General features: G+C 40.6%; 1 protein-coding gene across 2 annotated transcripts in view, besides 3 other annotated features; it reads right to left on the bottom strand.

The window, feature by feature from the left end:
- HMGA2 (high mobility group AT-hook 2) overlaps nt 1–10,958 on the bottom strand; it is a 141,832-nt gene that overhangs the window by 34,675 nt on the left and 96,199 nt on the right. The window lies entirely within an intron of this gene.
- Nucleotides 1,288–1,432: an enhancer, noted in NCBI's record as "145 bp enhancer 102 fragment used in the MPRA reporter construct; PK_construct_1741". NCBI's record gives its function as "activates an SV40 promoter by MPRA in HepG2 cells {active_cell/tissue: HepG2}" and the evidence as "EXISTENCE:reporter gene assay evidence [ECO:0000049][PMID:23512712]".
- Nucleotides 1,354–1,367: a transcriptional cis regulatory region, noted in NCBI's record as "HNF4 motif; enhancer activity is reduced when this motif is scrambled". NCBI's record gives its function as "necessary for full MPRA enhancer 102 activity {active_cell/tissue: HepG2}" and the evidence as "EXISTENCE:site-directed mutagenesis evidence [ECO:0005528][PMID:23512712]".
- Nucleotides 4,681–5,191: an enhancer, noted in NCBI's record as "NANOG-H3K27ac hESC enhancer chr12:66320206-66320716 (GRCh37/hg19 assembly coordinates)". NCBI's record gives its function as "activates a minimal SCP1, AML or CMV promoter by ChIP-STARR-seq in primed H9 embryonic stem cells {active_cell/tissue: H9 hESC(primed)}" and the evidence as "EXISTENCE:reporter gene assay evidence [ECO:0000049][PMID:30033119]".

Genomic DNA, 10,958 nt, shown 5'->3' with positions numbered 1-10,958 from the left:
ATCTGGATATATTGATACGCACACAAACACACACACACACACACACACACACACACACACACACAAACATCTATAAACTTAGCTCCTGGGTTCCATTCTTGTTGCCCTTGATAAGTAGAGCAGTTATAAGTATATAAAGGATATTTATGTGTGTGAAAATCTCTTAAGTCTTTCAACATTTGATTGCTTTACATAGTTGTGAGATGATGGTTTCGGGAGGGGGTAAAGAAGGAAGTTCCAAAATGTGAATGGTATTTAAATCTCTTAAATTTTTTTCTTCAAAGGAAGAGAAAAAGAATGAAATTATGTTTTCCCTCTTCAACAAGATGGCTTGCAGAATGGCTGTGGGCAGAAAAATAACTTAAAAGAATATAAAGACCCAGTGACTTGAGTCCCTTTCATGAAATATGTGGGTTAAAAAAAATCCAATAACCATAAAACAACCTTTTCTTTGATGCTGAACAAAAAACAAGCTTGAAATTTAGTGCTGCTGAGCAAATGAATGAAAAATACAGATGTCTTTTACCTTCAGCTCAACGCAGATTTGCCATCTGAACAGCTCCATGCTTAATTTAACTCTTTGTATGACTGATCATATCAAAGCATTTAGTTAACAGCAAAGGTTTAAATTGAAACTTAAAAATATACATTTTTTCCTTCCTTTTTTCCTGTCTTAGTGAATTAGAAAGTTCAGCTGCACCATATCCCTTTTCTTGTCCTCCCTGAATTACAAAACTTTAACACATAAAAGCAAAATATGTATGTCTTTTCCTGGTATCGTAATCTAGTCTGATTTTAAAAATTAAGATATCGATTGTTTTATTTAAAATGTAGGACCTTGATGCTATTTTAATTTTCCAAAGTCAGCTCGTAATACCAATTTCCCCAAAGGTCAAAAACAATATATTAAGGAAATACCACCTGCTACTTAGAGCTTGCACAGGAAATTTGCATTTCCACTTTGTAATGCATTATTTAGGGGGAGGAAATGACAGCCTGCTTCATTATCCCAAGGCGCAGAATCCCAATAGCTGCAAAGCAGCAGACAAAAAGCAAAAGAGGCCGGTGTCCATTTTCCCACCAAATATCATGGAAATTACAAATTCAGTAGGAGAAGCCAAAAAGCATGTGTTGAAAAATGCCAAGCTCCCCGCAAACTCTCTCTTCTGTCCCCATGAAAGCCAGGCTTGCCTGCCAGCCCACTTGAGTTGGGCTAGTTCCACAGAGGGGCAGGTACGGGCCCTGGGCACATTTTTCAATCTTTTGTAAATAGTCCCTGAAGGATTAAGGTGGTGGTCATGGCCGTACCCTTTAACCTGCCTCAAAGAGTGAGGGAGAGCTCATGGAGCTTGCCTGTCCAAAGTTCAATAGACCCTTTCTAAAGTTTTATTTACACACCAAACAAGGTTGAAGATAGATTACTTCCTACTGTCTAGCTCACAGGAAAGAAGCATTCTGTTCAGATATAATATATACATTAAGAAACAAAGGAGTTGCTAAAAGCTTCTCCTCTTGTAAGCATTCAACTATACTGGGGCTTACAATATATTCTACTCTGAAATAGGCAGCTTTTCTTGAGTGTATCATCTCTGTCCTCTTTCTTCTCATCTTTTTCTATCTTTCATGGTTTCCCCCCTCTACAGTTCTTACTTCTGTATATAAAAACCTCTATTCCTCGCCACATATCCCATACTTAATATGTGTGACTATTAAAGCCATCTGTCTTGACACATTACAAAAATGCATTCAACTTATCAGTGATTTTATCTCGGTAAGGGCAAACAACCAGTTTATCCAATTGTTTTTCCCCAGTGAGTCAACTGAATATCCTCTTTAAAATGAGGTATTTTCAGTTGAATTTAGTTTAAAATTGAGTAGAAATGAGCATTCACCAAAGTGTTTCGTGTAAGGTGCTTCCTGTGCTTGAAGAGTTGGTGTAAGGTTTTGTCATCTACCTGTGTAAATTAGCTCCTTAAATATACATCTCTTTATAGATGAGATCACCTCTCAAGTGCCCTTCTAGCTTAAGAATTCTGGGATTCGGGGTTTAGGGATAGGTCTTCTGCAATCTAAACACTCCCTTTTTAAATTTGCAGATTTCTAAAATATATATATGATATATATTACATATATACATACATATGTATGTATATAAATATCTAATACATATATACATAGGTCTCTTTAGACATATCAAGTCGATACTTTTTTTTCAATTTTTTAAAACAAGTAAGTGTTTAAAATTAGGATTACTTCCTTTTATCTTCAAAGAGGAAAGGTTTTTACATTTTATAGTCATAATGCACTAAGAACAAACAAAACAAAACTCCGCTTTAAAAATCAAGTATGGGAAGGCTGCAACACTGAACTATAGAGTATGGAAAACATGAGGAAGTCTTGTTACTCAGAGAAATGGTTTGACAAACTTTGGCCAGAGAACAGTCCTCAGTATTTATGTAGGAAGGAGTTTTGAGAACAGAGAAATGTAGAACTTGTCTGCACAGTATCCAAACACCTATACAAAAACTTGGCCACTTCTCTGAATATTTTAATTGCGATTCTAAAAGTTTGCTGTGCATAGACCAATTCTTAAAATGGTAAGAAGGTTAGAAAAAAGGAAATCCCAAAGTAAGATACATACATACATACATACATACATGCATATATACAGTACACTACATATATAAATATATATGTACTCTTTGTCTTTGCATCCTTTATATATGTGTAATCTTTATACGGATATAAATACAGCCATGCACCACATAATGACGTTTCACTCAACAATGAACTGCATATATGGTGGTGGTCCCAGAAGATTATAATGGAGTTGAAAAATTCCTATTGCCTACTGACATTTTGATCATCCACACCCTATGTGTGCCTAGGCAAATGTGTGTGCTATGTCTTAGTTGTTAGCCAAAAAGTTTGAAAATTAAAAAAAATTAAAATTTTCAAAATAGAGAAAAGCTTATAAAGATATAAAGAAAAATATTTCTGTACAGCTACATAATGTGTTTGTGTTTTAAGTGAAGTTTTATTACAAAGAGTAAAAAAGTTAAAAAAATTTAAAGGTTATAAAGTAAAAAAGTTACAGTAAGCTAAGGTTAATTTATTATTGAAGAAAGAAAAATATTTTTTATAAATTTAGTGTAGCCCAAGTGTACTGTGTTTACAAAGTCTGCATAGTGTACAGTAATGTTCTAGGCTGTCACATTCACTCACCACTCACTCACTGACTCACCCAGAGCAACCACAACTTCCAGTCTGGCAATTTCCATCCATGGTAAGTGCCCTATACAGGTGTACCATTTTAAAATCTTTTATGCTGTATTTTTACTGTACCTTTTCTATGTTTAGATATGTTTTGATACACAAATACTTACTATTGTGTTACAATTGCCTACAGTTTCAGTACAGTAACATGCTGTACAGGTTTGTAGCTTAGGAGCAATGGGATGCACCATTTAGCCTAGATGTGCAGTAGGCTGTACTATCTAGGTTTGTGTAAATACACTCTTTGATGCTAACACAACAATGAAATTGCCTAAAGATGCATTTCTCAGAATGTACCCCTATTGTTAAGCAATGTATGATTGAATATATATCTTTATAAAATATATAATATATACACATATATACATACATACATATATATATATATATACTCACATACATATTTTGGGTGACAGAAATATGTATGTATATACATACATATATACATACATATTTTATATATACATACATATATAAAAAATATATATACACACACACACACACACACAGATACAAAGAGAGAGAGAGACAGAGAGAAAGAGACAGACCAATAAGCCTTTATTTTCTATGAGGACAGGTATTTGTATTACCTGAGGACAAGAGAAGTTTGTATTAATCCAGTAAAGATATTTGGATAGCCGAAAATACAATTAGCTGTAAATCAGGGTTCTGGTTTCTAACCCATTTCCTGCTTCTAATAATTAGCTACAAGATCTTGGGCAAGTCTCTGGAACTTGCTAGGTTTCCATTTCTCCATCTCAAATGGAGATCACTGTGATAATTTGTGATTTTATAAAACGTAAAGAAGAGTTTGTCCCTGTCTTCCTCAAAACTGAACTAATTACCAATTTTCTATCACACAGCCACTTAAAAGTGAAGAACTGTCTTTTCCAGTGTGGTTTTTATATTTGGCAGCAAAACCAAACATCTAGTGGAGGCAGAATATGGAATCAAAAGGCACACGTAGCCTTTGTTAAAGCAGCAATTCATCTCTTCAGAAAGTTGTGATCCCTTCCTGGAGCCTGGTATGGCCGTGGATGGTAGCTCACAGGATTAAGTTTCAGAAAATAGGCTTGGTTTTTCTACCATGAAGGGAATAAATTCAGTTCCTATAAGTGTAGCAATTAATGGGCACCCATGGCCATCCCACTATGAGGGGAAAGGGGCCATTTTGTAAAAAAACAATCCAGGGCTGGAACTCAGTTTGAAAATGGTGTTAAGTTGTGCGTTTAAAATGAGTGATAAAACTCCCGTGTGTTGAAAGAAGGCCATGAAACACTGCAACTCCTCCTTGCTTTGCAAAAGAGTAACATCCACGCCATTCACCTAGGAGTCTCCAATGATATACCCTCCTCCCATTACACTTAAGTGGCAAAAAGACCCCTGATTACTGCATGGTAACAGTGATCAACATGGTCACGCAGAAAAGCACTTTTTTTTTCCTTTCCTGGAATGAACAGCGTGCTGCTTCTGGAACTGGAGGCTGCATTTCTGTCACCCAAACCTCTCTCAGAGCTGTGTGTGTTGTGAGACAGCTGAATGTCTCACTGAATGTTTCCTGTGACAATGAGGGTGCTTCAGAGCTTCCCACTGCTGCCACAACCTTTCCTTTGTGATCTTCATGGTTAATGAGACTGTAAACCAGCATCCAAATCAGCATTTGCTGATTGAAAGCAGGTTTAAAGGGCGAAAGAAAATGGTAGTGGTTTAATGATTAAACAACTTTTTACTGCTAAACATTTAAGTTGTTTTAATGTCTAAATCAATACACTTGCAGGATGCAAACTGCAATTAGGTGGAAACAGAACTTCACACTCTTGCAGTTAGAGAAAAACTTGCTACTATCACTTTAAGTGTCAAACTTGTGAACTGGCCTTGAAAGCCTCTCCTCTGCCTCCCTCTCCCCACCTCCGAGGCATTAATTCTATAGAGACGAAGTTAAACACTTAATTTGCAAAACTACTGAGAAGTAAATTTCTTGTTCCAAGGTAACTGGAGTAATTGCCAAATGCAGATAAATCCTCCCCCTGAGTAGGAAGCCCCACACTGTTTTGAAAACAATTCCTAGACTTTGCCCCTGTTGAAGCTGATTGAATGCTCAACCACAAGACTCCACTGTTGTTATCTCTCGCTTACTGCTTTTAGGGGCGGAGTTAACACTTTTCAAAAATCCGAGCTTCCCTAATAAATACAGGGATTTAGTGAAGATTTTGATTGTCTGGGGTTGGCATTCCTGAGGACAGAATAATTTATTTTGCTCTAAGCAGGTGTGTTATGAGAACAGAGGCTATGTTGATAAGAGATCCCTGGGAGCTGGTAATATATTATCTTCTGTAATTTCTTCCAAAAATAGACTTAATGGAAAGAGGATGCATAATATACCCCCTCTCAAAGGAAGCGTTCCCCAATACAACAGAAGCAGTCATTCTAAAAACAGCTTTATGGCTCTGCAGTCAATAGCTCTATTTTCTCCCCTTTCACAACTTCCTTCCTTCTGCTATGTAAGAACTTATGTGAGGGCACACACACATTCACGTGTCAGTGCACACAACTGAAAATGCCCGAGATCCGCATTCTCTCAAAGATCTGCAAGATCATCGAAAACTTAATGATCGCTTGACATGACTTAACCTGATTAATTGATAGTGCTTTTCATTTTATTTCATTTTTTACTCCAACTCTGATCATGTACAACCATGAATTAACCTTGCATTTAATTCAGTTCAGGGAGCAATTTCCAAATGCCTACTATGTTTGAAGTGCCGTATTAGACACAAAGATATACAGGAAACGATGTTCACAAAATATAGGCTGTAAGCAGAACACTTCCCCAAAGAAAAAGATGGCACCAAGAGCAGAATCGGAACTCTGGTGTCCAAATTGCTCCTAATTAAACGCCTAAGCTGCAAGTCAGGTTACTTGGTCAGGCTAAGTTCTTGGAACTAAAAATTGCCTAAGATGTTTTCCTTAGCTACTTCACAAACTAGAAGTTCCTCCTGCTCAGGACCACCCAAATGCTTATTAGAAATTGTCCAAAAGTCAATTTTTTTCAAATTTGGGACACGTTTGAGCGAACAAAAGATATGAAGAATAGTTAGAGTCACACCTGGTGGCAAAAACTTATAACCTAAAATGTAGCATCTTTACTTTAGAAATTGTAGAAAAGATACTTTTGAGCTACTCAAAATTAATTGAGTTTTTTTATTTATAAAAATATTTTAACAATTCAGAAAGGAATTTCACATTTGAGGAATACCAGGGTTTAATAAAAGACAGTAGATGGAAACTTTTAAGGAGGGTCTGCTTGGAAGCTTCTGGGCATTTTCAAGGGCTGGAAATTTCTTTATTCTGTTAAATTTTACCTCAGAACATATGGTTTCTCTCTTCTCTGATAGTTTTATTGCCAGCCCCACTCTAGAAATATGACAGAACGGCAGAAGAGGGATGGAAGAAAATAGGAAGACCTGTTCTGAAAGGCTGGGAGAGAGTTGGAAGGCCTCAGGAAGTTGCCAAAGACTTCACAATTACTTTTTTTGTTTTTTTGGAGACGGAGTCTTGCTCTACTGCCAGGCTGGAGTGCAGTGGCAGGATCTCGGCTCACTGCAACCGGTGCCTCCTGGGTTCAAGTGATTCTCCTGTCTCAGCCTCCTGAGTAGGTGGGACTACAGGCACGCCCCACAACGCCCAGCTAATTTTTGCGTTTTTAGTAGAGATGGGTTTTCACCATGTTGGCCAGGATGGTCTCGATCTCTTGACCTCAAGCCATCCACCTGCCTCAGTCTCCCAAAGTGCTGGGATTACAGGCGTGAGCCACTGTGCCTGGCCAACTTCATAATTACTGATATTTAGAGTGACTTCAGGGATGTGTGTGTCTGTGTGTGTGTGTGTGTAGGGAGGTCTTGCGGTAGGCTGAGGCAACACAGAGGCAGAGGACAATTGGTGATTTGTAACCCCACAGCATTTACAAAATTTGAGTCCCTCTTCCATATTCATTTTACAGCCCAGAAATTAATAACATATTTGAGAAGTTGGGACTATCTTCAGATACAGCAAAAAGAACAATGGGATTAGAAGTCAGATGAAGAAATATTAAAATAATTTTATATTCTAAGTTGGTTCATTTTAACTGGGCTTCAATAACATGAAGAAGAGTAGGAAGTGGGTAAAGCTTCCACTGCCCTGAATAAGCCAAGACAAGATGGACCTTCCCTACCCTAAGAGGAATTTAAGTCACTATTAAATAGTATCCTTCCCAAGGTGGGCTGGGGGTGGGTCAGAGAATGACTTTCCTGGTTTTTTTGTTTGTTCTTTTGTTTTGTTTTGTTTTTTTGAGATGGGGTTTTGCTCTTGTTGCCCAGGCTGGAGTGCAATGGCGTGCTCTTGGCTCACTGCAACCTCCGCCCCGCCAGGTGCAAGCGATTCTCTTACCTCAGCCCCCGAGTAGCTGGGATTACAGGCATGTGCCACCACACCCAGCTAATTTTGTATTTTTTAGTAGAGACGGGGTTTCTCCATGTCGGTCAGGCTGGTCTCGAGCTCCCGACCCCAGGTGATCCACTCGCCTCTGCCTCCCAAAGTGCTGGGATTACAGGCATGAGCTGCCGCACCCGGCGAGAATGACTTTCTTACGGGTGATAAAGTCTGGCATCTCCAATCAGAGCCCTAGAGCTCCCATTTGAAGCCAGAAAATGGCTCTTATGTTGCTGTCCTACCATACTCTTCTAGGTTCCCACAGGGTACAGGAGCCTACAGGAGCTTCCATTATTCACTAAGTTGTTTGATCTTCAGCCTCAAAATATATTTTGTTGGACTGGTCCAGTGCTGTAGCTGGCAAGGGGAGCTCACTACTGTACCAGCTTAGTCCCTGAAAGCCCAGGAACTGACAATAGTCTGAATGTAACACAGGGAAGCCCCTAGTGGGTGGTGAGTGTTCCTTCATCAAAGAAACATTCCACTTCCTCATTCTCTCCCCTAACCCCCAGTCTTCAGAACATCATTTTATATAAATCATAAAAATGGAGCTGCTCTCCTTTGGGAGTGGGAAAGGACCCAGAACCATGTTCTTTTATTTCTTGAGGGGTCTTCTTTAAGAATAGCCATAGGGATTTTTTTTTCTTCTTTTTTTTACTTGATTGGGCCCAAGTTTACCAACTAAATTAGCAGGAGGACCACGCTGCCCTTCTTTGGGGCACAACAATTGGTGGGGATGAGCAGCTTCCCCTCGTTTCCAATTGAAGAAACTAGGGAAATGGTCAGGCAATGAAGTTTCCCAAGGTTGGTGTATTAGTCCATTTTCATGCTGCTGATAAAGACATACCCAAGACTGGGAAGAAAAATGTTTAGTTGGACTTACAGTTCCACATGGCTGGGGAGGCCTCAGAATCATGGTGGTAGGCGAAAGACACTTCTTACATGGTGGTGGCAAGAGAAAATGAGGAAGAGGCAAAAGCGGAAACTCCTGAAAAACCTATCAGATCTCATAAGACTTATTCACTATCATGAGAATAGCACAGGAAAGACCGGCCCCCATGATTCAATTATCTCCCCTGGGTCCTTCTCACAACACATGGAAATTCTAGGAGCTACAATTTGAGTTGACATTGGGTGGGGACACAGCCAAACCATATCATACTGCCCCTGGCCCCTCCAAATCTCATATCTACACATTTCAAAACCAATCATGCCTTCCCAACAGTCCCCCAAAGTCTTAGCTCATTTCAGCATTAACCCAAAAATTCACAGTCCAAAGTCTAATCTGAGACAAGGCAAGTCCCTTCTGTGTATGAGCCTGTAAAATTAAAAGCAAGCTAGTTACTTCCTAGATACAATGGGGGTACAGGTATTGGGTAAATACAGCCATTCCAAATGGGAGAAATTGGCCAAAATAAAGGGGTTACAGGGCCCATGGAAGTCCGAAATCCTGTGGGGCAGTCACATTTTAAAGCTCCAAAGCGATCTCCTTTGACTCCAGGTCTCACATCCAGGTCATACTGATGTAAGAGGTTGGTTCCTACGGTCTTAGGCAGCTCCGCCCCTGTGGCTTTGCTGGGTACAGCCTCCCTCCCAGCTGCTTTCATGGGCTGGTGTTGAGTGTCTGTGGCTTTTCCAGACACATAGTGAAAGCTGTCAGTAGATCTACCATTCTGGGGCCTGGGGGATGGTGACCCTCTTCTCACAGCTCCACTAGGCAGTGTCCCAGTTGGGACTCTGTGTGGGGGCTCCAACCCCACATTTCCCTTCCCCATGGCCCTACCAGAGGTTCTTCACGAGAGCCATTCCCCTGCAGCAAACTTCTGCCTGGGCATCCAGGTGTTTTCATACATCTTCTGAAATCTAGGTGGAGGTTGGCAAACCTCAATTCTTGACTTCCGTGCACCCACAGATTCAACACCACTTGGAAGCTGCCAAGGCTTGGGTTTTCCACTCGCCAAAGCCACAGCCCAAGCTGTACGTTGGTTCCTTGCAGCCACAGCTGGAGCTGCTGGGACACAGGGCACCAAGTCCGTAGGCTGCACACAGCATGGGGACCCTGGGCCTGGCCCACAAAACCACTTTTTCTCCTGGATCTCCAGGCCTGTGATGGGAGGGGCTGCCGTGAAGGTCTCTGACATGGTCTGGAGACATTTCCCCCATGGTCTTGGGGATTAACATTAGGCTCCTTGCTACTTATGCAAATTTCTGCAGCTGGCTTGAATTTCTCCTCAGAAAATGAGATTTTTTTCTTTTCTATCACATAGTCAGGCTGCAAATCTTCCAAACTTTTATGCTCTGCTTCCCTTATAAAACTTAATGCCTGCCGGGCGCAGTGGCTCACGCCTGTAATCCCAGCACTTTGGGAGGCCAAGGCGGGCGGGTCATGAGGTCAGGAGATCGAGACCATCGTGGCTAACATGGTGAAACCCCGTCTCTACTAAAAATAAAAAAATTAGCCAGGCATGGTGACGGGCACCTGTAGTCCCAGGCTGAGGCAGGAGAATGGCGTGAACCCGGGAGGCGGAGCTTGCAGTGAGCCGAGATCCTGCCACTGCACTCCAGCCTGGGTGACAGAGCAAGACTCCGTCTCAAAAAACAAAAACAAAAACAAAAACTGAATGCCTTTAACAGTACCCAAGTCACCTCTTGAATGCTTTGCTGCTTAGAAATTTCTTCTGCAAGATACTCTAAATCATCTCTCTCAAGTTCAAAGTTCCACAAATCTCTAGGGCAGTGGCAAAATGCCACCAGTCTCTTTGCTAAAAATATAACAAAAGTCACCTTTGTGCCAGTTCCCAACAAGGTCCTCATCTCCATCTGAGAACACCTCAACCTGGATTTTATTGTCCATATCACTATCAGCACTTTGGGCAAAGCTATTCAACAAGTCTCTAGGAAGTTCCAAACATTCCCACATTTTCCTGTCTTCTTGTGAGCCCTTCAAACTGTTCCAATCTCTGCTTGTTGCCCAGTTCCAAAGTCGCTTCCACATTTTCAGGTAGCTTTTCAGCAATGCCCCACTCTCCTGGTACCAATTTACTGTATTAGTTAGTCTGTTTTCACGCTGCTGATAAAGACATACCTGAGACTGGGAAGAAAAAGAGGTTTAATTGGACTTACAGTTCCACATGGCTTGGGAGGCCCCAGAATCATAGCGGGAGGCGAACGGCACTTCTTACATGGCAGTGGCAAGAGAAAATGAGGAAGAA

Source organism: Homo sapiens, chromosome 12 (assembly GCF_000001405.40).
Source record: "Homo sapiens chromosome 12, GRCh38.p14 Primary Assembly".
Lineage (NCBI taxonomy): Eukaryota > Metazoa > Chordata > Mammalia > Primates > Hominidae > Homo > Homo sapiens.
The sequence above is the reverse complement of the archived record's forward strand: the minus strand, read 5'-3'. Positions and strand labels throughout refer to the sequence as shown.